The sequence below is a fragment of the Homo sapiens genome, chromosome 22, assembly GCF_000001405.40.
Source record: "Homo sapiens chromosome 22, GRCh38.p14 Primary Assembly".
In the NCBI taxonomy this organism is placed as follows: domain Eukaryota; kingdom Metazoa; phylum Chordata; class Mammalia; order Primates; family Hominidae; genus Homo; species Homo sapiens.
The window spans coordinates 31,931,422-31,958,429 of record NC_000022.11 but is presented as its reverse complement, the minus strand read 5'-3'; the positions used below and the strand labels follow the sequence as shown (position 1 = coordinate 31,958,429).

Sequence of the window (27,008 nt, the reverse complement as noted above, 5' to 3'; positions counted from 1 at the left end):
GTGTGGTGGTGGCGTCTGTAATCCCACCTACTCAGGAGGCTGAGGCATGAGAATGGCTGGAACCTGGGAGGTGGAAGCTGCAGTGAGCCGAGATCATGCCACTGCACTCCAGCCTGGATGACACAGCGAGACTCCATCTCAAAAAAACAAACAAATAGAAAAAGGCGTTTAAGGGTTCTGTGTAACTGAACCAACTCACCTAACAAACGTTCATTCCTAGGTGCCACTCTGGAGGTGATAAAAATCGTGAGGAGCTGGAAACCACCTCACTCAAGAACAGTCAGCCAGTGATGCTGAGGCTCGAGAGACACATTGGGGTTAAGCAAGTGTTTAAGGGGTAGGTTAGGCTTTTTAACTCAATGAGGTTTGCTTTTCTATTTTAAAGAATACTAAATGCTTAACAATAATCACTAAAGATTTCAGGGGTGCAAGTTGTGCCCCTAGTATCTTATTACATTAAGAAAACTTGAGGACGTGTATAAGCTCCGTATTTACCTTCAGTGTTAAATACACTCTCAAGTTCAACAGAGCCCACAATGTTTCAGAGGTGCTATACTGTGGAAGACTGCATTTTGTTCTGCGAGGCTCATTAAAAAGCACCAGTTATCAGGAAAATTGATCAGAGAGGCTATGTTAGCTGGGTTCACAGAAAACTATTTAAAATCTATGAATCCTATGTGTGTGCTGCAAAATATGTAATGTAATGAGAGGGGAGGAAAACTTGGATAATGTACTACAAATGCTTCCATGTTTGAGAGATTCAAACCACAATTTGTGACTGGTTAAACAGTTCCTCGAGGGGGGAAAAATCAAGACCAAACAGAGATAATATCCCCAAAGCAGCATTTATTTACCCATTGAATTCCAAAACATTTATTTTAGAAGTCTGGCATTTCATAATCACCCATCTTGATTGACATGGGCTGACACACATGGCGCTGTCAGGATACACAAGGACAATAGCCAAAGAGTTACAAAAAATAAATCCATGATTCTTAAACAATTGCAACCAAAAAAAAAAAAAAGTTACAAGTATCAAAACTTTCAGATGCATTGCATTGAAAAGAAGGTTTGTGCACGTCATAATTTAAAGAGGCAAAACCAAGGAGCTACTGAAACCTCACGTTAAACAGTTTATTATAAAGCTGATGGAAAGGAGCAAGTTGTCTCTCTGTATCAGCTTCCCTTAACAGTTTTCCATTAATTGAAGAAAGAGGTGGGAGGGGTGAATTCATTTTTGCATGCACAAGATGTACTGCTTAACGAAACACTATCAGCTTGTTTTAAATGGATCTTTTAAATATCAACTGTAGCCTGGTTGGCTAATTCTTTCTAATCTTCCCCATTACTTTCGCCTAGATTTCCCATAGATCAACAGGCATAGTAAAATGCCTCATCAGAACACACTTCTCCACACAATTCAAAAAGGGAGCTCCTGTGGGCTCAAAGCAACCATCAGTCCAGCAATGCCCATGATTTATCTGAAACTGCTTCCCAAGAGACAGGAGTGCAGATCTGAGTAGCTGTGCTGCCAATACAGATAGGTTTAGCACTAGATATTTAGTGATTGTGGCAAGGAAGAATCGGTGATGATGGGGGTGGTGGGTGAAGGAAGGGCCAGGGGACCTGAAGGATCTTCAGTTGCCTTCTCCTGCTTCTTCATCCTGCTGGTCGCTCGTCCAGAGGGTGAGGTTGTCTCGCAGCAACTGCATGATCAGCGTGGAGTCCTTATAGGAATCCTCGTTTAGTGTGTCCAGCTCAGCTATGGCATCATCGAAGGCTTGTTTGGCTAAGAGGCAGGCTTGCTCAGGTGCATTCTGGATCTCATAGTAGAACACGGAGAAGTTGAGGGCCAGGCCCAGCCGGATGGGATGCGTGGGTTGCATCTGCTCTTTGCTGATTTCAAAGGCTTCCTTGTAGGCAGCTTCAGAAGCTTCGACCACACTGTTTTTCTTCTCCCCAGAAGCGACCTCTGCTAAGTAGCGGTAGTAATCACCCTTCATTTTCAGGTAAAACACCTTGCTCTCATACTGGAAATCATTGCAGTTCTTGATCAGGAACTTGTCAAGCAGAGACAGGACATCATTGCAAACTGTCTCCAGCTCCTTCTCAATCTTCTCCCGGTAAGCTTTAACTTTCTCCAATTTCTTTTCGTTTCCATCAGCCATGGTTTTCTGCTCAATGCTGCTAATGACCCTCCAGGAAGATCGCCTGGCACCAACCACATTCTTGTAGGCCACAGAGAGGAGATTTCGATCTTCATTGGAGAGAGGTTCATTCAGCTCTGTCACCTGCAAAACCCCAAAAAGATAAACATTGAAAGCAAAATCTGAAAATCTTGGTAAGAAGCCTTCCCTTCAACATAATCAACAATCCTTCTCAAGAACGGAATTACGAACAGGTCAGTCACTCTGGAGAATAAAAACCACCCATGGATAAAACCAATATAGACATGAACCCTATGTGAAGAAAGACTATAGTCTAACAGAAGAGATAAATACTTGGCACCCAAAACAGAAAATCATAGGGGCTTGAGAAATTCATAATTCGGGTCTGATAAGATGTTGCTTTCACCTTGGTAGAGGAATGGGACTAAGGATAATTATGAAAAGGTTGTACAGCAGCAGTACATAATGGTGAAGAAGAAAACCTCGAGCTTCAGCCATTCTGCAAAAGATACTCTGAACAGGCCGGGCGCGATGGCTTATGCCTGTAATCCCAGCACTTCAGGAGGCCAAGGGCGGGCAGATCATGAGGTCAAGAGATCGAGACCATTCTGGCCAACATGGTGAAACCCCATCTCTACTAAAAATACAAAAATTAGCTGGGCGTGGTGGCACGCGCTTGTAGTCCCAGCTACTTGGGAGGCTGAGGCAAGAGAAACTCTTGAACCCGGAGGTTGCAGTGAGCCCAGATCGTGCCACTGCACTCCAGCCTAGCTAGCGACAGAGCAAGCCTCCGTCTCAAAAGAAAAAAAAAAAAAAAAAAAAGATACTCTGAACAGTAAGATCGTACGGTCCCTTTGTCAAATGTTCAAAGACAACAGACTGGAAGTGTTCCAGACTCTGCTTCCAGCTTTATACTCTGGAAAGAACCAACCACTCCTCAAATACACATTAACAGATGGTGGGGCTTCACAGATCAGATGGAACATCACACAGATCCAGTGGCCAGAGCTTCGCCCTGTGTGGCTACACATGGAACCCTAACTGATACTCCCAGCCCTCTCCCAAACCAAAATGAAGAACAATTCATAAGTGACATGAAAGTACCCCCAGCTCCTAGTGAAAGGAAGCACAGCTACTCAGCAGGAAGTTGTACTCTGACCTACCTCACAGGAAACTCTGGTCATCAAGGATGGAAGCATCAATTATTTTAAGTGGAAGAGTTAAATTTCACAAGCTTTAACTTCCCTTAGTTCTCCATGATGCCAACTACAAGTGAACTAGCTATGCAGTTAGTAGGAAGAGCATTATTAGACTTTGCAGTGGTTGAACTGTATCCCCCGCCAAAAGATACGCTGAAGTTCTGACCCTAGGTTCCTGTGAATGTGAGCTTATTTGGAAATAGGGTCTTTGCAGATGTAATTAGTTAAGATGAAGTCATACTGGACATTAGGGTGTGCCCTAAGTGCAATTACAGGTGTCCTTATAAGGATAGTGAGATTTTGACACACACACAGGAAGAATGCCATGTGACAGTGGAGGCAAAGACTGGAGTGACGCATCTACAAGCCAAGGAACACCAAGGGTTGCCAGAAGCCACCAGAAGCTGGGAGAGTGCCTAGGAAGGATTCTTCCCTAGAGCCTTCAGAGGGAGCGTGGCCTGCCTACACCTCACTTTCAAACTTCTAGCGTCCAGAACTATGAGAGAATACATTTATTATTTTAAACTATCCAGTTTGTCGTACTAGGTTCAGCACCCCCTAGGAAACTAACAGAGTTTCCTAACAAGAGTTCCTAACAGAGTTGCTAACAGAGTTGGTCTGGGCCCAAGCAAAGAAAATGACTTCCTAAATTGACCCAGGACATTTCACAAGCCCTTAAAAGATGGTGTGTCGTCTAAAGTAGAGGGATTCCTTAATATGACCTACTGGTAAAGGTCTTTAATTTTATTAAATCAGTCTCTGCTTATCCAAAAGGTCTTTAATTTCAATAATGAAAAAAAAGAAAGCAAAGCACTTAGGAAACCATAAAACACTAAACAAAAAAGGTATTACTTAAACCAATCTGTAAGGACAGAACCTCCAGAGGGAAAAGGCCAAGTTCATTGGGGAAAGTTATCAATAGCATATTCAAATAGACACACTTAAAATGGATTGAGAAGACTGAGCAGTGGAGTATCAGAAATCATGAACAATGATGGTTTATTTGGGGAATTAGTGGTTCAAGGACATAAGCAGCAAGTGTAATCATTATTACAGGTAAAAATCAGAAAACGTGCCAAGTTCTCACAAAGTAAAACAAGCAATTGTCTGAGTCCTCCCTACCCCCAAGCCCCAGACAAAATAAAAATACCAGCTCACTCTTAATTTCTCCATTTCCCTGTCCCCAGGACCCCTACTCTTCTGCTACAAACCCTTAACACAGGCAAAGTCTCTCCTTTGCCTACCCACTTCTTTCTTCAGTGTGGTCTTTGGCTAACAGCTATCCTGACCATTCCCCAGGGGTGCTGCCTCCACTCTGGTCAAGCCAGGGTTCTCATTATTCATCCTCACATATTCATTAGTAGTCTCCATACCTCTCACTGTGATCTGCCCCAGTCTACCATGAATCTACAATCCATGCTCCCCTTAAATCCAGCTGAACACCTATAACCCCACTAGTTTCCTCCTCCAGTAAGTGCCTTTAAACACTTACATACATTTTCTTACGGAAAATAGAGACTTTGTAAATATTTAATAACTTAGTCTTTTTTTGCCCACATCAGAGGGTCACATGTCTATGTTGTAACAAGGTTTGAGGGTGGCACATCTCACACCTGCATGTCAAAACCCAATCATCACACTTATGAACTACAAAAAGATGAGTAACTACTTAGTCTTTTAACGAACAACACTTCTGAATCAAAATTCCATCCCAAATATTCTGATAAATTTCAGAATGCTTGAATCCTCTAGAATGACTTGCGTTTCTAGAGCAATATTCAATAAAACAAAGCATAAGGCAACAACAGAATTTGGAGAGCTCCTTTCATCTTGTAGTAATTAAACTAAGGCCATTTGGCATTAAAATACAAATAATATCCATAAGGAGTCACAATATACTTCCTCCTGTGACTAACAAAGCTGCTTCTGTGAAACTGGCAAAGATACACCAAGGTAACTTCCCAGAGTATATCATTTAAAGTGAGTACAAATCTGAAATACATGTATGTATAATACAGAATGCTTGCATAACACAAAAGGCGGTATAATTATTAAACCCAAGACATCTGAAGTTTAGTCTGAGCTAGCTATGTGACCTTAAACAAATCACAACCTTTTTGGACATCCAAAGTAAAATAAGCAGGATTAGCCCAAATGATCTCCAAGGCCTCCTTCAGCTCCAATGTTCCATGATTTCGTTTTTCCTGTGCACCAATAAAAGGTGTGGCAGGGCTTCCTACTAACGTGAAGTTTGGGTGTATCTGTAAGCATATTCTTTCTCCATCAGGAATAAGCTGCCAAAAAAGGCTACTGGGCAGTATTTATGATGACACCTTCACAAGAAAAATCATTTACTGGGAGTATTAGTGTTTATGTAAAAATCATCTGGTTGCCTGCCAGTCTGAATGAATCACTATCAGCATTAGCTGAGGGTGACTAACATATCTCAGCAAGCAAATATTGTTCCTAATACCCCAGCCAGAGCCTAACTAGGAAATAACTGGATACATTTAAATACAGTATTTTTTAATACTCCTGGGTTATAATTCAGTTAACAAAAGGAAACATGAAATGAAGATGGCTTACTACTTGACCAGATAACTAAAGAAAACTGAGTTTTTCCCAGACTGGAAAATTATAGACCCATGTAAAATCAGACAGTCCATTAAAACAAAAAGATGGATAGCCAATCTTGATGGATGATACTTAGCACCAGTTCCCAACACTTCAAATACCAAAATACAGGAGCCAGGAGAACTAATGAAAAGTTCAGTCATAAACTGTACTGAGAGGCAAACACCGGGTGGCAACACAGAGTAATGGATGCTCTCCAGGCCCCGACCATGCTACCTAAGATCATCTGCAAAATCTAATGAAATCACATTTGCTGCATCTCCACAAATCAGGAACATGAAGCAACAACAAGACAGAATTTTACAGACAGGCCTAGACAATAGTTTTCAGCCTCTTTCCGCTCTAACACCAAGATTACAACAGTCATTTCTGCCACACGGCACCTTCCCTCAGTGTAGCCACACTAGGCACTGAGTCTTCACCGGGCCACAAACCAGGGGTTTCGCCACCCCTGCTCACAGCCTCTCTGCTTTCTAGGTGTCCTGCCTGCCTTCCCACCCTCTGTAATCCTACTTACACCCTTCCTGAAGGACAACCTTAAACTGATGGGCTCTTCCCATGCACAAAGGCCCTCCTCTCCATTTCTTTTAAGGATTGGACTTCCCTGTCAGCCAGTTTTACTCACGTCCTGACCAAACAGCCTTTGGCTACACCTAGTCCCCACCCCAGGGCACTCACTTCACACATTTTCTCTGCTCCAGGACTACCCCCAACATTACTAAATGTCAAAAATGACCTGGCCTGCTGATCATTCACTTATCTTCCTATGACACTATTCATTTACCCAAAAACCCCTAAGGGCCTCCACCCACTACTCACAAGGCAAAAAACTATGTGTGTGAGTAAAAATAGATCCACTGCCAAAAACAGTACAGGGACTATTTAGGAAAATTTAAAGTTCTCAATCTGGGAAACATCCAACATCAAAAGTAACACTGAGCAAACAAAAATGCCACCCCCGAGCTGCCAGGCCATAGCTGCCTAAGTTAGGGGTAATGCTACCTCACTCGAATATGCTGCCATCCTTCACAGCTCCACACATGCTATGGGCTCATCCTTTATAGCTACCCACACCTACATGCTATCAACCAGCTTGCTTTTGATATGAGTAAATGATTCTCATGATTAAGTAAACATAACCACATCATAAAACCTTTAAGCTTCTTTGGCAGAAGTGTGTGTGTACGTGTATGTGTGTGTGTCTGTGTGAGAAAAGTCAGTTTGAGGGTTTGAGGGGCCAGGTGTGATGGCTCACACCTGTAATCCCAGCACTTTGGGAGGCCAAGGCAGGCGGATCACTTGAGGCCAGGGAGTACGACACCAACCCAGTCAATATAGAGAAACCCCATCTCTACTAAAAATACAAAAATTAGCTGGGCATGGTGGCGTGCACCTGTAATCCCAGCTACTTGGGTGGGACATGACAATCGCTCGAACCCAGGAGGTGGAAGTTGCAGTGAGCCAGGACTGTGCCACTGCACTCCAGCTTGGGCGACAGAGCAAGACTCTGTCTCAAAAAAACAAAAAATGAGCTAGAGGGATGAAAGCTTGCTGAGCTCTTTCCCAAGTTAATGCTTAGGAAGTGAGGATCTTGCCTGGCCTGCCCCAAGCTGGAAAGATATCCACCAACAGACCAAGTCCTACAGGCCACTGGGCAAGAACATCACCAGCCAGGGTCAGGCTGAGCCCCTTATCCTCACCAGGATGAGGCTGCAATTCTGTAAGACCACAAATAGGCTAAACTTCAAGCTCAGAGCAGGCAAGTTCGGGTAAGTAACATCCACTCTAAGCTAAATTTTAGTCAAATAAAACAGCTACCCTTGTATAGCCAAGAGACTGTTTTTGCCTTGCTTTTGACATAACTGAACATTTTCATGGGGATTGGCAAGGATTAAATACAACACCATCTGAATGGCATTACTGCATGCTACTGTCCCTAGAGGCATCCGAATTGAAGGCTTCAGAAGCTGTGCCAGGTTCGGATCATTGGAAGTGCTAACACTCACCACCGCAGAAGGGAATGCCACTGCAGCCAGGAGTAGGGGCGGGAGGAGCACCAAAATGCTGGGACAGAAGACAAGCTGCCTCCACTTGGACACTAGGAGGAATTTTACCAGCAACCTAGAGACAGAAATTTTGGGGCCTGCATAAAAATATACTAAAGGGTGCAGGGAGAAAAATACATTAAAGGCAATATGGAGAAACAACTGGTGCCAAGAATATGAAATAATTTCTTAAAATACCCCAAATAAAATGTAACATAGTCCTGCACTTCTTAACTCAGGAGAAACTCAAATTCAATACTTTGTTAAGCAAAAAAAAAAAAAAAAAAAAAAAAAAAAAAAAAAAAAAGGCCTCCAAGCCTTCAGAACAAGCAAAATCCAGATATGTGAGTTTCCCTCTTATGTTTCTCTGTTGTAGCTAAAACCCATAAATGGCAGATTGTTCTTAATCGTATTTGGAAAAAAAAAATGACTTGCACCCAACAGATAAAATTATTTGTTTAGTAAGCCCACTTATGAAGAGTTCTTGGATTTCAGTCACCAGTGCTGACAATGGTTAATATACCAGAATGTATACTAGACATATTATCCCTTTGCCTCATGGGGCATTGTTACATAGTGGTTAAAATGAGAGCTCTAAATTTGAGTTTGAATCTTGAATTCACAACTTACTAGCTGTTTGACCATGAGAAAATCAACCTCTGAAAGTCTCATTTGTAAAGGGGAGTAACAGTACCTATCCTGAATTGTTAAACAAGAATGTACACATGGAAGGTGGCGGGCACCTGTAGTCCCAGCTACTTGGGAGGCTGACACAGGAGAATGGCGTGAACCCAGGAGGCGGAGCTTGCAGTGAACCAAGATCCTGCCACTGCACTCCAGCCTGGGTGACAGAGCATGACTCCCCCCCCCACCAAAAAAAAAAGTACACATGGACTAACAGCTACCGTTTACCAAGTGCCTAAAAAGTTAAATAAGTTCTAACCAAGCGCAGTGGCTCACGCCTGTAATCCCAGTACTTTGGGAGGCCGAGGCAGGTGGATAACCTGAGGTCGGGTGTTCAAGACCAGCCTGACCAACATGGAGAAACCCCATCTCTACTAAAAATACAAAATTAGGCGGGCATGGCATGGTGGTGCATGCCTGTAATCCCAGCTACTTGGGAGGCTGAGGCAGGAGAATTGCTTGAACCCGGGAGGCAGAGGTTGCAGAGAGCCGAGATTGCTCCATTGTACTCCAGCCTGGGCAACAAGAGCGAAACTGTCTCAAAAAAAAAAAAAAAAAAAAAAGTAAAATATGTTATATAAACTTGCTAAATGTAACACACACACACATAAAACGTTAGGGGTACCCTCTCCGAAACCGTATTTCTGGAAAAGTGTGACGCTACAGTCTGTCACTGATATAAAATCCCAGACAAAGACCAACTAAAGAAAATCCCCACCAAAGAAAATACATTTTTGGTTTCTTTAAGGGAGTCAGTTCCGGACTGTGGAAGTTCTTCTGGGGATAATTCAGGGACCCAAACCCACATGGGGACTACAGTTTCTATTTCAGTGCAAGAAAGCCACGTAAGCTGTTTGCCCACCTGAAAGGACCTTTTAAATTCAAACTATTACAAGAATAATCCAGAGCCTTCTTCCTTCCTCAAAGACGATTACATTTTAAATGCCCAGTTAGTGGGAAACATAGCTCCCTAGTTTTTACATATTTCAAACTGTAGTATCAATGTGGCTTTAAGATTTCCTACTGGTTGGGTGTGGTAGCTCACTCCTGTAATCCCAGCACTTTAATAGGCTGAGGCAGGAGGACTGCTTGAGGCCAGGAGTTTGAGACCAACTTGGGTACCATATAGAGATCCTGTCTATACAATTTAATAATTAGCTGGGCACGGTGGCATGCATCTGTAGTCCCAGCTGCTCAGGAGGTTCACTTGAGCCCAGGAGCTCAAGGCTACAGTGAATTATGATCGTGCCACGACTGCACTCCAGCCTGGGTTCCAGAACGAGACCATCTCTTTAAGAAAAAAAAAAAAAATACTAATCACACCTCAAAATCCTCCTACTCTCTGTGACACTGATCTGTCTCACCTGGGGCAGTCAGCTGTGCACTTTTACACAGCACCTGCTCATTTCCCCACTTCCCAGAATCTCACAGTTGTTGCAACAACAGCCTTTTGCCAGTGGTTGGGCCAAATGCCCCTCCTCTCCGACTCCTGTTTCCTTAAACTGTAGTTTTGTTTCCTGCACTTAAGATTTCTAGGGAGCCGCTGTGGCTCAGGCCGGTTGCCCTGGCACTCGGGGAGGTGAGGCTACACGTTCGAGGCCAACCTGGTCAACACTGATTAAAAAAAAAAGATTTCTATATATATATTCTGCAGGTACTTTAAACGTGTTTCTGCCCGTTTTCTGTCAACACTGTAATCAACTGGTGTATCAGTGTTAAAACACAATGCTAGCCCAGTAATTTTTACATTTGATAACTTTACAGTTACCATCTATGTTTTAATATAAAATAGATGACTTAGGGCCATAATACATGATGAAATTATGTCTGTCTATGAATATCCACCAGAAATCTATCTGGTTATTTTCCCTCTTTCCTTAAATCACTTAGTCTTCTGGACTAACATTTAATCCCACTTTATAGGTTTATTTCAGTTATCAAATGGTATTTACAGAGACTACGAATTGTGTAGCCTAGAATTGCCTAGCCTAGAAAGGACTTAGGTTCTAGAATCTTTCACAATATTTCTTCCCACTATTATACTCTATGCAAGCTGGTAGGTATGAGATAGAGCTTGAAGATACTCCTTTATGCTTCACTTCAGAAACATTTCTTGCTTCTTCAAATTATGGAGAGAAGCAGGGAAGAGAAGTTCTCAACAGGTTTGAGGCAAGACCATTGTTTCCAGTATGCACGATTTTTCTTCAAGCTTACCAACACTGTCCTCCAGGTGACGCTGGTAGAATGAGGAACATCAATCATTACAGGAAGGCAGTATTATCAAGTGAGCATTTTAATTATGAAGGAAACAGAAAACAAGTTAGAAGACTGAAGGCAAAACTGACTTGTTAATAACAGCAACATCACTAGTTTTATACTTCAGAGGACCTAAAGCCAAGATGTAAGTTTCAAGGTTACAGACTGGTGGCATCAGAATATATCCTTAACACATGTGTCCTGCTCCATCCTCCCTACAGCAGGCTACTTACCTGCCCTTCCCCAGCCCTGAAGAAAGCCCAGGTAAACCCAGAGGGTTACTGAAACTTACACCCTTTCCAAAAGCCTTAGTTAAGGCTGATGAGATTAATAACATAGAGACTGAGTCATCCCAGTAACATTAAGAATTTAATCTACAAACACCAAGTTAGCAGGGAAAGTGACCCCTGCCAGTCCCTTCCAATATATTCTTTTTTTTCTTTTAAAGAAAATACCTATAAGCACAATATATTCCATTTAGATGATGGGGGAGAAATGGTTTATCACCATTCTGAGATGGCAGAATTAAAGCTTGGATTGACTCTTCTACGCTGGGTGGCTTTTCCAACTCATTAATTATTTCAAATATAGATATTATAGATTCCTTTGGTTTACAAAAGGCTACCTTAACCCTCCAGAGAAGATCTATGGACACAAGTAGCTTGCTGCAGGAAAGCATTTTACAAGCCTACTAGAAAGCCAGTCTTTTTCTCTGCTCAAACTAGATTTCGTTCTGGTAACATCTCTCCATTCTTGCCTTTTTCCCCCATTTCAAGTTGCCTCAGGTTTCTGATTGTTCCAGAACACACCTTCTAGCCATTTTTCCTTAACCTCCATTTCCCCTTCCTTTAAACCTCGTCCCTCCTTTCTTTTCACCACATTTATTTCCCAAAGGGCTCCGAACACTGCAGTCTTTACGTCTCACTTAGAGGGTGAGCAACCACTTCATGAAAATGTGTGGAGAGGCCTCAGCCTGCATAATCCCAGCACCACTCAGTTACTGGGGAGGAGGGGCTTAAGTGTGACCTGCTGTGGACAGAGGCAGCTTTATCCCACAGAAAATTAAGGTTCAGGGTCCCTTCCAAGGAAATGCATTCGTCAGTCCCATTTTTGTAAAATATGCAAAACTATATTTTAGATTTTCTTTTAAAGGACCCCCTGAATTACATAAAGTTCAGCCTCCAGACCTAGACCGTCCCCCGGTCTGGAAGAAAACCTGCCTCACCACAACAGCATGCTAATAGTGCTCAAGTCAAGATCACCAACAAATCAACATACGGGCAACGGTGTTGCTGGTTTCCAAACACACCCAGTTATGTGTGTAACAAGGACACCAGAGGAAAGGCAACTCTTCAAGCACCTTTCTTACCTGAACAATCCTAAATATTGGCCCCAACTACATATTTCATCTGATATTAACATCAAAAGCCTTCAAATGAGCTTTCCAAATGACTTAAGATTTTAGGGAGCCTTTGTATTGGCAGTTTTTTTTCGGAACTCCCTCCAAAAGGCCAGCAAAGGATACATTTACTATAATCATGGGCAGTAATTCTCAGACTTAAGCCAGCTAAAAATCGCCTGTGAGAGCTGGTTACAATGCAGATGTCTGAGTCTCACCGCCCGAATTTCTGAATGTATAGGTCTAAGGCGGAGTTCAAGGGGATCCTCCCAGGTCTCAGGAGGTTGTACACTGAACATAGGTTGGTGGTCGCAGTTGTTCTACCACTGTGTGACCTTGACGCAGGGAGAGGAAATATTCATTTACAGAAAACGTAAAATAACGTGGAGAGAGAGTGAGATGGTAACCGGAACTCAGAAATGCAGGTGGTGTGTGACCCACGGTATTTTGCTAGGGTGTGGCTGGGCACGACTCATCCACCGGAGAAGCTGCAGAATCGATTTATGAGGGTCTCAGGAATGCAAAGACACACAGATTCGTCTCACCTAGAAGTCACGTTTCATTTTAATCTCCAAGCAGACAGCGCAGCAGCAAACCTGGGGCTGTGGAGTGGGGCCCCACACCCTCCGCCCACTCTCCCGCCCCCGTCCACGCCTAGACTGCAGGAAAGGGGTCTTCGCACACAAAGCCAGACCCCCAGGCGTGGGAAGATGGAACCAGAACAATTCGAACGAGCAGAGCAAAACAGATCGGAATTGCAGACTTCAGGTCGTGGCAGAGAAAACCAGCTGAGACAGGGCGCCACTTACTAGGTGATTCTTTATTCCAAGTTGGGGAACGGAGGAAGACGAGAGGGGGAGCCCCCGGGTCCGGTGAAACGCTCTAGGAGAAATGCGGCTCCTTCGCGTCCCCTAGGGCACCCTCTGCCCCCGGCCGGGTTCCGAACTAAGATGTGGCGACCCCGACCGGCCCGCCCCCCTTCCGGGGCTGCCTTCGCGATCCCGAACTGCACCCTCCCGGATCCCCCACCCTGGGCCCAGCCTCAGGAAGTGGCGGGGCGCCCAGCGGGAGCGGGAAGCGCGGGCTAAGGGCGGGCGGGCGGCCACGCCCAGCCGGGTCGCCGGGTCGCCCATGGCCGGGAGGGGAACGCGCCCGCGGCCATCCCCGTCCCTCCCCAACGCCAGGCCCCCCCCGGCCAGCCGCCCGGGCTCCCGGCGCGCTCACCGCCTTCATAGCGGAGGCCATGTCGTCGTAGCGCTCCGCCTGCTCGGCCAGCCGCGCCCGCTGCAGCAGCTGCTCCCGGTCCCCCATGTCGCTCGCGGCTCGGCCTCGCCTCGCGCCTCACACCGCTGGCTCGCTAGCCCTCCCGCCGGTCAGTCCGCTCCCCGGTCGCTGCGGAGGCCGCCGCCGCGCACGCGCACTGGCTCGCCGGCCGGCCGGAGGCTGCAGGCTGCAGGCTGCAGGCAGCGCCGCCGCTCGCGCCCTCTCGCTGGCTCGCCCCGCGCGCTGTGGCTCGCGCCGCGGACAACGCCGAGGGAGGAGACGCGGCCGCGCTGGGGGATGGGAGGACGGGACGACGCCTGCGCAGTGAGAGTGGCCAGGCCGGGCGGCGGGGAGCGGCGGGAGTGGGAGGGGGGAAGGGCGGGCCGGCCCTAACGGTCTATTTCAAGGTGACGTCACCTACTATAAATAGCCACCGCCGCCGCCGCCGCCCGGCCTGAAAGCCGCGCAGGCGCTCTGCGAGTGCTGCATTTTACCGCCGCAGAGATGGAGGTGGAGAAGGGAAAGCCGGGCAGGAGACTGCGGAGCCGGTGGAGGGGGCGCGGTGATGGCGGCTGCACAGGCAGTGCATTGTCATAGCCCCACCCTGAAACGCGCCACTCCATCCACGTTAGAGATCTGGCTTGAGAAGGGCCCCAAAAGCAAGCAAACATACTGGCGGAGAAGCCGGGAGACCGCGTGCCCCGAGGGGCGGGTCCGCCCAGCCCCGCCCCAGCCGTCCCGCCCGCCCCGAGCCCTGCCTGTCCATGCGTTCTGCTGGGCCACACCTTGTACTGGTCCGGGCAGGATCGAGTCCGACCCTCGGGGACAGCCCCGCTACACAGACACACACAATCGAACCCAACCTGAGACGTAGCCTTGGGCAGGCTGTGCCTTCCACCAGAGGAGGGGACTGGGTGGCCAGGGCGGGACAAGTAATATTCAGGACACATTAGGAGCCAGCCCAGTGCTAGTCCCGTACAAGCATCCTCCTCTTTAATCCTCACTACCCAGCCCACAGTGGGCACAGCTGGTCTCCCCATATTTAAAACGTGGAACCTGAGGAAAAGCGAGGTTAGTGACTTGCTCAGGGTTACGCAGCCTGTAAGTGGTGGGGCCAGGATCTGAGTCCAAACCCAGGCTGAACTTTCTCTTGTGGCAAAGAGCTGGGGTGGCCCAACTGGCTGGTCACTGAGCCCCTCCCAATCCTGGCTGGTATTGGATGCTGAGGGTCCCTTGTGCCAGGCCCTGGACTGGGCTGCCCGACAAGCTAGGAAAATGATGATTAAAACAAGGCCCCCACTTGATTTCAACACGCCAAGGGCAGTGCAGGAGAGGGGGCCTTGGGCTCGCTGAGAATTTTATTGAGCATCTACTGCATGCTCAGCCCACAGGGATAAGCTGGATCTTGAAGGAGAGTCAGGAAAAAGATTAAGGCCTGGGGTACAGCATTGGCAAAGGCTTGGCAGTGACCTGGGAGATGGTGAGAAGAGAGGCCTAAGAATGGGAAGTGAGGTTGGGTAAAACAAGATTACGGAGTCTTTTAAATGCCAGGCCAAAGATTTGAGGCTTCATCCTTAGGTAATTGGGAAGCCATATTTCAGGCCTGGAATCTTGCTCTAGAGAGTAAGACATGTTCGAAGGGAGAAGGGAGGGAACTGGAGACCAGGCCTTTTCTGGACCTGTTTTCCATCTGGAGAATTGGACTTAACTGTTTCAAGGACTTTAGAATAGATATCCACATGCTGAAATGTCAGAGCTGGCAGGACCCTTAGAATCACCCCTGTCTAACCCCTTATCCTGAATAACGGGAAACTGAGGTCTGAGGGAAAGGAGGGGCTGGCCCTAGTTTGCACAGCGAGTGAGCAGAGCTGGGGTCTCCATACCAGGTTTCCTGCCTCCCAGGCCTTCCTCTTCCTGCTATGATGCTGAAACGATCACACTTCTGGGGGCCCATGAAACAGGATTTGAATGTGGGTCTAGGAGGAGGCCACTACCCCAGGCTTCACCATGCTTTGAAGAGTCACTTTTGCTGTTGGAATCGAGGTTAACAAACCAGGCTAATCTTTCCCCTAGTGAATATATTTAAAGAGCATGCTAGATAGTAATGAATCATCCACTCCACCCCCCATAAGGATGGGGTCCCAGTGAGAGATGGGAGGAGGGCCAGCCCTGGATGGGGGGACCTCCTCGGTTCCTTCTAGCTCTTAGAGGGCTTAGAGCCCTTCCAGCTTTTCTGATGAGGTTGGACTAAGATTGATTTCAAAACAGTGAAAATTAGGTAGAGCTGGAGCATTCTAAATAATTGATTTCTGACATGTGTAAAGGACACTCTGGTTCTCCCATGAAGCTTTTCTTCTCACCAAACTTCCTCATCTCCTCTTCCTCACCTCCTACCCACCCATCAGCTCAGTGTGCTCTCACCCTGTCCCTACTCCTCCACCGTGGCCATCAGAGCCCTCCTTGTTGTCAAAGCCAAGGAGGTTTCATAGTGCCCACCTCCCTGGCCCTCTTGGCTGGACTGGGCACGACTGCTCACCCTTCCTTGACCGACTCTCCCAGCTTCCCTTCTGCTGCTCCGGCCATTGCTCTTCTATTTGCTGTATGGGCTTGTCTTCTAGCCTACCCCAAAATACTAGGGTTCCTCAGGGCTTTGTCCCGAGCCCTCTTCACACACTGCCCTATCCTTGGTGACCCCATCCTCATGCACTCTAAGGAACCATCTACCATGTTCCTAGTACCAGGCAAGGTGCTTTGCAGAAACGTGCATTTTTTTTTCCCTCAAGATACCCCTGTAAGGCTGGTCCGATTTCCTTTCCTGTTTTTTTGTTTGTTGGCTTTTGTTTTGTTTTGAGATAGAGTCTCACCCATTCACCCAGGCTGGAGTGCAATAGTGCTCTCTTAGCTCACTGCAACCTCCGCCTCCCAGGTTCAAGCGATCCTCCTGCCTCAGCCTCCCAAGTAGCTGGGGCTACAAGGCGCACGTCACCGCACCCAGCTAATTTTTTCAGAGAAAATTATTTAAACTCTTGTGCCTCATCTGTTAAATGGATTTTTTAGTCTTTTTTTTGGTTTGTTTTTTTCTCTAAGAGATGGAGTCTCGCTCTGTTGCCCAGACTGGAGTGCAGTGGCACAATCTTGGCTCACTGCAATCTCCGCCTCCCAGGTTCAAGCTATTCTCCTGCCTCAGCCTCCCGAGTAGCTAGGACTGCAGGCATGCACCACCAAGCCCAGCTAATTTTTTTGTGTGTATTTTTAATAGAGATTTCACCAGGTTGGCCAGGCTGGTCTTGAACTCCTGGCCTCAAATGTACCTCCTGCCTCGGCCTCCCAGTGTGCTGGGATTACAGGCATGAGCCACTGCGCCCAGCCAGTTTTTAAAATTTGTTTGTTTAATAGAGCTAGGGTTTTGCCATGTTGCCCAGGCTGGTCTTGAACTCCTGTACTCAAGCTATCCACCCACCTCGGCCTCCCAAGTGATGGCACTACAGGCGTGAGCCACTGAGCCCGGCCTCCTTCCCGTTTTACAGATAAGCAAACTGACACAGAGCTGTCCCATGGTTTAAACAAAGTCACACAGCTGGGAATGGGCAAAGCAAGGATTCAAACTCAGATCCATCAGACACCCAAGTCTGAGGGCCTCACACTGCCCCGTGGTGTCAGCTGAGAAGAGCTCAAAGTGTGACTCCCTGTTGGGGTCACTCAGATTATACAAAGCATACATAAGCCTCCCACCATGTGGCCTACACACTCTTACCAGCACACATCTTCTTTGCCCTTGGGAGAGAGTTGCTAACGCCCAAGAGCCTCATCAATAAAAATCAGGGTCACCACCTGCGACAGGTCACCTACTCCCAAGGCTCTACGTCCTATCGATAAACAGGGCCTTTGAACAACGTCAAAGACAGCACCTGAGTGAGGTGAGGGAGGTCAATGGTTAATGTCAAACACACTTTGTTGCCTCAGGGCTCAGAGCAGGTCCCCAGTAGAGGAGCCAAGTCTGGGTCTTCACCTGGTACAGGGTCTCACTCGGGGAACAGAACAAACCGCCCCCCCCCCCGGGTTCCTGAACACACGTGTGTGGTGTGATTTGAGAAAGAACGTGGTTCTTGTCTTGGGTTCGAATCCTACCCTGCCAGTGCACCAGCTGAGTACCCTCCGGCAAGTCACTTGTAAAAAGGGACCAATAGCCTGGCACAGTGGCTCATGCCTGTAATCCCAGAGCTTTGGGAGGCCGAGGTGGAAGGATCACATGAGGCCAAGAGTTCAAAACCAGCCTGGGCAACATGGCAAAACCCCAGTTCTACAGAAAACAAAATACACACACACACACACACACACACACACACACACACACACATTTTATATTTTTTTTTTCTTTTTTTTTTTAATGAAGTCTGTCTCTGTCACTGAGGCTGGAGTGCAGTGGCATGATCTCAGTTCACTGCAACCTCTGCCTCCCAGGTTCATCAAGCAATTCTCCTGCCTTGGCCTCCCGAGTAGTTGAGACTACAAAAAATATTTTTAAAAAAGAAAAACTGGCCAGCCGTGGTGGCTCATGCCTGTAATCCCAACCCTTTGGGAGGCCAAGGCGAGTGGATCACCTGAGGTCAGGAGTTCGAGACCACCTTGGCCAACTTGGCAAAACCCTGTCTCTACTAAAAATACAAAAATTAGCGGGGTGTGTTGGTATGCGCCTGTAATCCCAGCTACTCAGGAGGCTGAGACAGGAGAATTGCTTAAACCCGGGAGGCAGAGGTTGCAGTGAGCTGAGATCGCACCATTGCACTCCATCCAGCCTGGGCGTCAGAGTGAGTCTCCATCTCAAAAAAAAAAAAAAGGTCAGGCATGTTGGCTCATGCCTGTAATCCCAGCACTTAGGGAGGCCAAGGTGGGTGGATCACCTGAGGACAGGAGTTTGAAACCAGCCTGACCAACATGGTGAAACCCCATCTGTACTAAAAATACAAAAAATTAGCTGGGCGTGGTGGCAGGCACCTGTAATCCCAGCTACTCAGGAGGCTGAGGCAGGAGAATCGCTTGAATCCCGGAGGCAGAGGTTGTAGTGAACCGAGATCACACCATTGCAGTGCAACCTGGACAACAAGGCTCAAAAAAAAAAAAAAAATTCCTCACTTGCATCCCACCCTGAGCTAGTGGTCACGACTGCTCCTCACGTGGGACTGCATTTCTAAAGCATTGCCAGAACCCTCCACCAGAGCCCAGTGAATAGATGACCCAGAAAAGGCACATCCTGGTTTTTTTGTTTTTTTGTTTTTTGTTTTTCCACTCATGGATACTCTGAGACACTTACTCTGAGCTGCTGAGAAGTCTGGACACCAAGGGACATATTACAAAGGAGACGTGATGTTGTTCTGGAGAGATGGCATTTGCAATGTTGGCATGGTTACCATCTTGAGCTGGAGCAGCCGCCTGTCCACAAATTATTAATAATGTCACCCAGATAGGATTTTAACTTTTTCTCCCACTGTAGGCCACCTGCAGCCAAGGTGACCTTGCCGACCCAGCCAATGATAATAAAACCACCAGCAATAACATCGACAGCGGCTCTTGTTTTTTTTTTTGTTTTTTGTTTTTTTTTAAGACGGAGTTTTGCTCTTGTTGCCCGGGCTGGAGTGCAATGGCGCGATCTCGGTTCCCCACAACCTCCGCCTCCCAGGTTCAAGCAATTCTCCTGCCTCAGCCTCCAGAGTAGCTGAGATTACAGGCATGCACCACCATGCTCCGCTAATTTTGTATTTTTAGTAGAGACAGGGTTTCTCCATGTTGAGGCTGGTCTCAAACTCCTGACCTCAGGTGATCCGCCTGCCTCAGCCTCCCAAAGTGCTGGGATTACAGGCGTGAGCCACTGCGCCCGGCTCGACTCTTGTTTTTTAATCACTTACCCTCTGCCTGATTTGAGGATGAACACTTTACTCTCATATTATCTCCCCACATCCTCACTCGGAAGGAGGCTGTTAGCCCCACTATATGTATGAGGAAACTGAGGCCTAGAAGAGTCAGATTCTTGCAATCATCTGAAGCCTTCCCCACTCACCCCAACTTTGCACCATCTACTTTGACCCCAGTATCCTTTTGCTGACACCAAATCTCACCCCGTGTCTTAACTAAGAGCATCTTGAGCGCAGAGATTTCAGGATCATCTAGAGCCTTCCATCCCTCTTTCAAAGCGCGCCTTGGAAGCAAACCAGCATCCAAGGCAGCTTTTGGCATTAAGAAGTGCAAAAATGTCCTGTTAGCTGCAATCTGTGAGCTGGTTCTATGAGCTGGTGGAGCTCAGAGCCCCAGTCCCAGCACCCGCCCCCCTCCAGCTTGTTCAGAGGAGCTCAGCTCTGGGGGAGAGCTCAAAGCCGACACCTATTGAGTTGCAGTTAAAATGAGGGCGAAAAAGGCTTTTGTTTCAGTTCTGCAGATGGTCTGGGAGTTTGTGTTTCTTAGCAAGAATTTTCTAGACGTTTTGGCTTGAACCATCTGAAAAACTGCCTCAAGCTTTTGCATGGTTCCCACTGGGTGGGCTGGGTTGGGAGGGGCTGTCGTGCATGGTCCGGGAAAGCTGGAGAAGGCTGTTCCTTCACCCCGAGCCTTGGATTTCTTATCTGTGAAATGGGAGGCTGCAATGATGAATGGCAAAGTACCTTTTTTTTTCAGCTCTGAAAGTCTAGGATATTTTGCCACTGGAAGACCAGCAGACAATGTCATGACAACTCAAGAGGATACAACAGGGCTGCATCAAAAGACAAGTCTTTGGACCATGTCAAGACCTGGAGCGAAGAAGGTAATGAACTCCTACTTCATAGCAGGCTGTGGGCCAGCAGTTTGCTACTACGCTGTCTCTTGGTTAAGGCAAGGTCAGTATTATTGTTTTGATTTTACAGATGAGGAAACTGAGTCCCAGGGAGGTTAAGTGTCTTGCCCAGCCACAGCACAGAGAGCAGGGGCTCTGCTCCATCTTCACCATTCTTCCCACCACTGCCCCTGACCTTCAGAGAGTCTGAGAACATTCTTGTAGCTGTTGAGCTATGAGCATAACTGTCATCAGCTGCTGCTGAAACTGTACCCTGAGAAGCAAGGGAGAGGGTCACTGAATTTTCACCATGGTTCTCTGCCAGGCAACTATGCTAAAAAACATCTTTTCCTCCCCAGTATGTTAGTAGGAGGCAAGCAGATTGTTATAGCCTTCTGTCTTCTTGTAGATAATGGTGGCAGGCTGGCCCTGACTCAGGAGATAAAGGGATCTGAGAGGACCACAGCCACATGAGAAGGCCAACTCCTGTAGGAGGCTGGCTGGCTTCTGCAGAGACAGCACTGAGCTGCCCCTGGGGTCGTGGGTAGGATCCATTCCCTCGTTAAAGATATAACTTCCTCTACCTGGCCCTTCATAACCTGCCCGTGGCCCATCTTCTCAAGGTCATCACCCACTCCCTGGACACATTAGGCCCACCAGGTTCCCAGATTCTGCCCATGAGTTTCCAGAATGTCCTTTCCCATCCCTCCACCCCATTCTCTTCTTCTTACATTCCTTTAATACCCAGCCGAAATCTTACCTCCCCTAAAGAGCCTTCCCAGTTTCTCCAACAAGAAGTACTCTCGCCTTCCACCTACTCCCACTGTGACTCTGGTATCCACTGTCTGCCTAGAGTGACATTGGTAGGAATGTCTGTGGCTTGCTACTGGGCATCAAGCACTTTGTTATGTCATTTAATGCAGTATAAGATCTCATTTAATATGGGAGCTATTCTTCTTACACCCATTAAACAGATGGAAAAATTAAAGCTCAGGAAGGCATCCTCTTACCCAAAGTCATGCTGCTATTAGATGAAGAATTAGGATTTGAACCCAGGTCTTTCTGACTATAAGGTTCACACTCTTTGTTACTTATACCTTCTGCTTCCCACTTCCTTAGGAAGCAGCCATTTCCTTTGTAATAGACTGTAAGCACTGGAGAATGGGGCCTGTGTTTCATTCACCATCTGAGTCCCTGGGATGCCTGGCTGAGTGTCCTGGATCCAGGCGCTGCTCCATGAATGCTGAATTGAATTTGGTTACACCTTCTGCGTATTACAAAACTCCCATCACCAGAGCCCCCTTTGTGAATGGCCAAGATCTTTGGTCCTCTCCCCTTCCACCCCAGGAAGGGGAACACCTGAAATCAGCTGACAGCTAACATTAAGTGACAGCTGAGTGAAAGGCAAGAAGAGGGAGGGAGCAAGGGGGAAGGCAGGCAGGATTGCAGAAGCCGGGAGGGAGCTCAGAGGAGGAGGAGGGCTGTCCTGCTGAATCTGGCCAGCTTGCAGTTACTTAGAGTACAAGATCTGGAGTTACCAGACCCAGCCTCAAATCCTAGCTCTTCCATAGTAACTGGGGAAACCTGGGCAAGTTGTTGGACCTGAGTTTCAGTTTTCTTTTCCATAAAATGGGCATGTCAGGGTGAGTGGGCGGTGCAGTGGGGGGAGAATAAAAAGGGCATGTCCCTGTCCTCACTAGACCTCTTCATTCAGGAGGAATGAGGTTGTGTCTGAGGGAGGGAGGGAGTGCTGCCTACGGGGATGTTACCTACTTGAAATGGGGACAGTTGGAGGACCAGCACAACCTGAAATGGCTTCCCCATGAAGTCATTGAGCCCTGAAGGCCTGGGGCAGCAGGGAACTCACAGAATCACAGACCCATAATAAAGATCTTGGAGACAATTCAGTTTGGCTTTCTTACTCCAAGAGGCAGCACAGCATGGTGGACTGATGGGAAGCTCTGCCAGCAACGGGTTGTTCCCAAATCCTGGGCCCCACTTGCTAATTGTGTAGCCTTGTGCATGCCACTTTGTCGGTCTCAGACCGCTGGTTCCTTATCTTTTTTTTTTTTTTTTTTTGAGACAGTGTCTCGCATGTTGCCCAGGCTGGAGTACAGTGGCGTGATTTCAGCTCACTGCAAACTCCGCCTCCCAGATTCAAGCAATTCTCTTGCCCCAGCCTCCTGAGTAGCTGGGATTACAGGCACGTACCACCATGCCTGGCTAATTTTTGTGTTTTTTGTATGGACGTGGTCTCACCATGTTGGCTAGGCTGGTCTTGAACTCCTGACCTCAAGTGATCCACCTGCCTCAGCCTCCCAAAGTGCTGGGATTACAGGCGTGAGCCATCGCGCCTGTCCGGGTTCTTCATTTTTAATATGAAATTCAAAGTAGTTCCTTTGCCACAGCACTACTGGGAGGATCAGAGACCCAGACAATAACAGCTGGTCATTCGCTGGCCCTGTGGGAACTGAGGCTCAGAGAGGGAAAGTAATTCACCCATGGTCACACAGCAGGTTAGCGAAATCAAGCCTATGCCCAGGCCTCCCAAAGCCCAACCCTGGGCTAATCATCAGACAGCTGTGGCCTTATCACAAAGAAGGCTGAGACTACCCTTGAACATGCAGCCAAGGAACTCATACTGGGAATCACTGGTGGGATTCCGTATCTCACTGAGCTGAAATAATTGCTTGGGTTGCCTGTGGATGGAGTATGGCAAAAAGCCCAAGTCAGAGCCTAGGGTCACATGTCCAACCTGGGGTCTAATCCACAGTATAACCCTGGCCATGTCGGGTCACCTCTCTGACCTCTCTGAGCCTCAGTATATTCTCTGCTTACAAAATGGGAGCAAGAATTCCTGGCAGTGCAAAGGAATCATGTAAGACACAGACTATTTCTTTTCTTTTCCTTTCTCTCTCTCTCTCTCTTTCTTTTTCTTTCCTTCCTTCCATCCTTACTTCCCTTTCTTTTCTTTCCTTTCCTTCCTTTTTTTTTTTTTTTTTTTTTAGACAAGGTCTTCCTGGGTCACCCAGGCTGAGTGCAGTGGTGCAATCCTGGCTCACTGCAGCCTTGACCTCCTGGACTCAAGTGATCCTCCCACTTCAGCCTCCCAAGTAGTTGGGACTGACTACAGGTGTGCACCACTACGCCTGGCTAATTTTCTATTTTTTGTAGAGACAGGGTCTCAGTATGTTGCCTTGGCTGGTATTGAACTCCTAGATGCAAGTGATCCTCTCGCCTCAGCCTCCCAAAGTGCTGGGATTACAGGTGTGAGCCACCATGTGTGGCCCAGAGCTATTTTCACAGCAGCTACCCATGAGCTCCCACTGGGCACCTCACTATGCATCCAGCCTGTGCTGTCACTAGCAATGGCTTCATTTAGTCCTCACAACAGCCCTGCGTGGTGGGAACCTAATTTGTAGATAAATGTCTACGAACAGGTAGAACCAGGATCCGACCTCGAAAGGTATTCTCTATGTCTATTCTCTCACCCCTCCTCTTTCCCTACCTAACTTGGGCTTCTTCTTCAGGTTTCAGTATCAACCTGACTTCTTTTGGAAGGATCCCTTGGCCTCACGCTGGAGTGGGCACCTGCCCTAGCCCACAGAGCTGGATTTCTCCCTTTCTTCAATCACACAGGGAGCACCACTATGCAAAGACCTCATCACATTCACAGCCGTCTCCGCAGAGCCTCGCACTGTGCTTGGCATATAGCAGGTGCTCAATAAATATCTGCCAAATGACTGAATGCATCTCGCTAGCCTCAGGATGCCACCAGGCCCTGAGGGAGCCAGGAAGATCAGAGGAAAGCTTTTGGATTCCTGCCACACCTTACATTAGCAACATCTTCTCCGAGTCCTGACAGCCAGCCTCCTGGGACACCATTCAAGCCAGCTGAATTCCGGTCACCGCTTCACCTTGGAAAGGCATCCGCAGCCCTCACCAAGCGGCCCCGTAATTGACGTCACAGCGGGGCCAGGAGCTGCCCTGTTAATATTTAATGTGGCCTTCACTGCGCAAAATGCAGCCTCTAAGAGCTGGAGGGGCCGTGCAGAGTCTCCATGGGGTTGTGAGGAGGGCACAGAAGGGAAAGGGCTTTATAAACCATAAAGCGCCCAACAGATGAGCATTCTGCCGACCCATTTCAGTCCCTGGCTTAACTCAGAAAGAGCCGGGGCTGCACATGCCTGCAGTGGGACAAGAAGACTGCTGACCAAGCCCGAACACTAAATCAATGGGGGATTAGGGGCTCCTGGGTACATTCCATTGAGACAGCGGGAGAGCAGAGCACTGGTGCCAGCCCAACCTGGACTCCACTCCAGGTTTGCCCCCTGCACAGCTGTGTGACTGGGTCAGCAAGTGCACTGCTGAGCCTCAGTCCCCCTTATCTGTGAAATGGGAATGATGCTTTCCTTGTAGCACTGCTGTGAAGATTCAATGAAACGAGTGATGCCGAAGACCTAGCTTCACCCATCGCAGGCTGTCAACACAGGCTGAGACCCTTCTCCAAAACCAGGCCTGGGACCTGAGGTTGGAGAGAGGAGACACGGGGTCCCTTCAGGCATTCACTGGGCAGAGTGATGGTGGGAGGGAAGAAGGAGCAAGGAGGCACAGGAAGGATGACCTGGGAGCCAAGCATCTCAGGTTTGGACTTTTCACCCTGGTGGGCCCACGCCAGGAGAGGTATCAGAGAGAGGATGGGTGGAGGGCCCCAGGATGGCAGAAGCAGAAGGGCCCTCATGGACAATCTCTCTGATCATCTGACCCCTTTGTTTGGCAGATGAGCATCTGGGAGGGAGTAAACCATGCCAGGGGCTCACATGGCACAGCTGGGGTCTGACTGGCCTGCAGCCCTCTGGGGCTTCATCAGCTAGGGTTTATCCAAGGCCACATGCCTAGTCCGGGAGGCAGATGTGTTGGAAGACATGATGCAATGGCCCCATTCCTGGTGGTGACCTCCACTTCTTTGGCCAGGACAATAGGAGGAACCTCATCCCCCGCCCCTTCCTGGTCTCCCTCCAGTCTATTTTCCCACGAATCCTGGGAGCTTCCCAAAACGTAAATCTGACCTTGTCCTCGCCCTGCTTAAAACCTTTCCATGATCCCACACTTAAGGTCTCCAGAGAAAATACAGGAGGCTCAGTTAAAACTGAATTTCAAGCTGGGTATGGTGGCACACACCCGTAGTGCTACTCAACAGGCTGAGGCAGGAAGATTGCTTGAGGCCAGGAGTTTGAGGCCAGCCTGGGCAACATAATGTGACCCTGTCTTAAAAACAAAACAAAACAAAAAGAAAAACAAAAAAACCCCTGAATTTCAGACAAACAATGAATAATATTTTAGTATAGGAATGTCCCAGAAATTGCATACACATACTACAGAAATTATTTGTTGTTCATATGAAATCCAAATTTAACAGGACAACCTGTATTTTAATTTGCTAAATCTGGTGTTCCTACATACATTGCCCTCAGGAAAAAGGACAAAGCCTTTTTTTTCTTCCTTTCTCTTTGAGACGGAGTCTCAAAAGCCTGTCGCCCAGGCTGGAGTGCAGTGACACCATCTCAGCTCACTGCAAGCTCTGCCTCCCAGGTTTAAGCGTTTCTCCTGCCTCAGCCTCTTGAGTAGCTGAGACTACAGGCATGCACCACCATGCCCAACTAATGTTTGTATTTATAGTGGAGACAGAATTTCACCATGTTAGCCAGGCTGGTCTCGAACTCCTGGCCTCAAGTGATCTGCTTGCCTTGGCCTCCCAAAGTGCTGGGATTACAGGTGTGAGCCACCGCGCCTGGCCAGGAAAAAGGACGAAGTCTTTAGTTAGCCCATGAGACCAGTTTGGCCCTGAGCTCATCCCTCCACTCTCTTCCACATGGACCCTCTGCTTTAGACACAGCTCATTGCCTTTACTTGAGAAACTCAAGCCCTCCCTCCCCTCTGTCCTTTGCAGATGTCCTTTCATTGGAACCCTCTTGGTATCATCTCCTCCTCCCAGTGCCCCACTGTGCTTGACCTGACTCATCCTCAGGCCTCTGAAGCATCATCACTTCAAGACCTGTGTTGTGTCTCCTCTGGATCCTCACAGTGCCTCTGTCTGTCCCGTTCACGTGGCGTATGTAGGGGTTCAGCAAACATTTGTTGCACTGAATTACTAAATTCCACAGCCGCTTATACTTTTCCTATCAACAGTTTCCCCTCCTTCAGCCAAATCCTATGTGCCCCTCAAAGCCCTGTTGGAACCCCATCTCCTCCAGGCCTTCCCTGAGCCCCACAGTCCTCCCAGCTCTTTTCTTCTGAGATGCATCTGGTATGTCTCAGTCACATCCGGGGCAGCAAGCAATCTTTTTATCCCATAAGCTTGGCAAGATCAGCAACCCTCAGACTCCCCAGCTATGACCTGTGGTGCTGAGCACTGTGCCTTCCTGCCAGACAGTGCTCAACAAACGCTGGTGAGCTTGGGGGAAGCCAAGCTGAGCTCCTGTGTTGGCCTCTCCTCCCTGCCACTGGCCAATAACCAAAATCCTAACCCAGCCTTGAAGCAAAGCATCTTACATCCTG

The 27,008-nt window shown here is 47.9% G+C and overlaps 1 protein-coding gene, 2 long non-coding RNA genes and 1 other non-coding gene across 7 annotated transcripts, besides 9 other annotated features; 1 reads left to right on the top strand and 3 right to left on the bottom strand.

Annotated features, from left to right (window-relative positions):
* On the bottom strand, positions 827-13,895 carry YWHAH (tyrosine 3-monooxygenase/tryptophan 5-monooxygenase activation protein eta). Its single transcript, NM_003405.4, has 2 exons — positions 13,610-13,895; positions 827-2,291 (listed from the first exon to the last, which is right to left on the bottom strand). The coding sequence occupies exons 1-2, from the start codon at positions 13,694-13,696 to the stop codon at positions 1,638-1,640; spliced, it is 741 nt and encodes a 246-aa protein (NP_003396.1). The 5' UTR covers positions 13,697-13,895; the 3' UTR covers positions 827-1,637.
* Positions 882-1,233: an origin of replication, noted in NCBI's record as "site of nascent strand synthesis determined by PCR of size-fractionated nascent DNA; promotes replication of a plasmid". NCBI's record gives the evidence for it as "EXISTENCE:fractionation evidence [ECO:0000100][PMID:9356241]" and "EXISTENCE:genetic transformation evidence [ECO:0005027][PMID:7690594]".
* Positions 4,924-5,026, bottom strand: LOC124905158 (small nucleolar RNA U13). Its single transcript, XR_007068165.1, has one exon. It is a non-coding gene; the product is annotated as a small nucleolar RNA U13 (small nucleolar RNA).
* Positions 9,278-13,596, bottom strand: LOC124900477 (uncharacterized). The gene is made up of 3 exons (XR_007068065.1): positions 13,195-13,596; positions 12,752-12,930; positions 9,278-10,966 (listed from the first exon to the last, which is right to left on the bottom strand). It is a non-coding gene; the product is annotated as an uncharacterized LOC124900477 (long non-coding RNA).
* Positions 12,925-12,974: an enhancer, noted in NCBI's record as "active region_18873". NCBI's record gives its function as "activates an Ori minimal core promoter by ATAC-STARR-seq in GM12878 lymphoblastoid cells {active_cell/tissue: GM12878}" and the evidence as "EXISTENCE:reporter gene assay evidence [ECO:0000049][PMID:35858748]".
* Positions 13,064-24,909, top strand: YWHAH-AS1 (YWHAH antisense RNA 1). Of its 4 annotated transcripts, none has more exons than NR_171018.1 (3): positions 13,064-13,197; positions 20,315-20,514; positions 23,981-24,907. It is a non-coding gene; the product is annotated as a YWHAH antisense RNA 1 (long non-coding RNA). The 4 variants fall into 4 exon arrangements; NR_126507.1 differs by having other exon boundaries at positions 13,068-13,197; positions 20,315-20,441; positions 23,981-24,909; NR_171020.1 differs by lacking the exon at positions 13,064-13,197 and having other exon boundaries at positions 19,981-20,441.
* Positions 13,295-13,634: a silencer, noted in NCBI's record as "silent region_13642". NCBI's record gives its function as "represses an Ori minimal core promoter by ATAC-STARR-seq in GM12878 lymphoblastoid cells {active_cell/tissue: GM12878}" and the evidence as "EXISTENCE:reporter gene assay evidence [ECO:0000049][PMID:35858748]".
* Positions 13,705-13,924: a silencer, noted in NCBI's record as "silent region_13641". NCBI's record gives its function as "represses an Ori minimal core promoter by ATAC-STARR-seq in GM12878 lymphoblastoid cells {active_cell/tissue: GM12878}" and the evidence as "EXISTENCE:reporter gene assay evidence [ECO:0000049][PMID:35858748]".
* Positions 13,705-14,575: a biological region, named in NCBI's record as "H3K27ac-H3K4me1 hESC enhancer GRCh37_chr22:32339841-32340698".
* Positions 13,718-14,575: an enhancer, noted in NCBI's record as "H3K27ac-H3K4me1 hESC enhancer chr22:32339841-32340698 (GRCh37/hg19 assembly coordinates)". NCBI's record gives its function as "activates a minimal SCP1, AML or CMV promoter by ChIP-STARR-seq in primed H9 embryonic stem cells {active_cell/tissue: H9 hESC(primed)}" and the evidence as "EXISTENCE:reporter gene assay evidence [ECO:0000049][PMID:30033119]".
* Positions 13,935-14,024: a silencer, noted in NCBI's record as "silent region_13640". NCBI's record gives its function as "represses an Ori minimal core promoter by ATAC-STARR-seq in GM12878 lymphoblastoid cells {active_cell/tissue: GM12878}" and the evidence as "EXISTENCE:reporter gene assay evidence [ECO:0000049][PMID:35858748]".
* Positions 14,305-14,454: a silencer, noted in NCBI's record as "silent region_13639". NCBI's record gives its function as "represses an Ori minimal core promoter by ATAC-STARR-seq in GM12878 lymphoblastoid cells {active_cell/tissue: GM12878}" and the evidence as "EXISTENCE:reporter gene assay evidence [ECO:0000049][PMID:35858748]".
* Positions 14,576-15,433: an enhancer, noted in NCBI's record as "H3K27ac-H3K4me1 hESC enhancer chr22:32338983-32339840 (GRCh37/hg19 assembly coordinates)". NCBI's record gives its function as "activates a minimal SCP1, AML or CMV promoter by ChIP-STARR-seq in primed H9 embryonic stem cells {active_cell/tissue: H9 hESC(primed)}" and the evidence as "EXISTENCE:reporter gene assay evidence [ECO:0000049][PMID:30033119]".
* Positions 24,910-27,008: the final 2,099 nt, after the last annotated feature.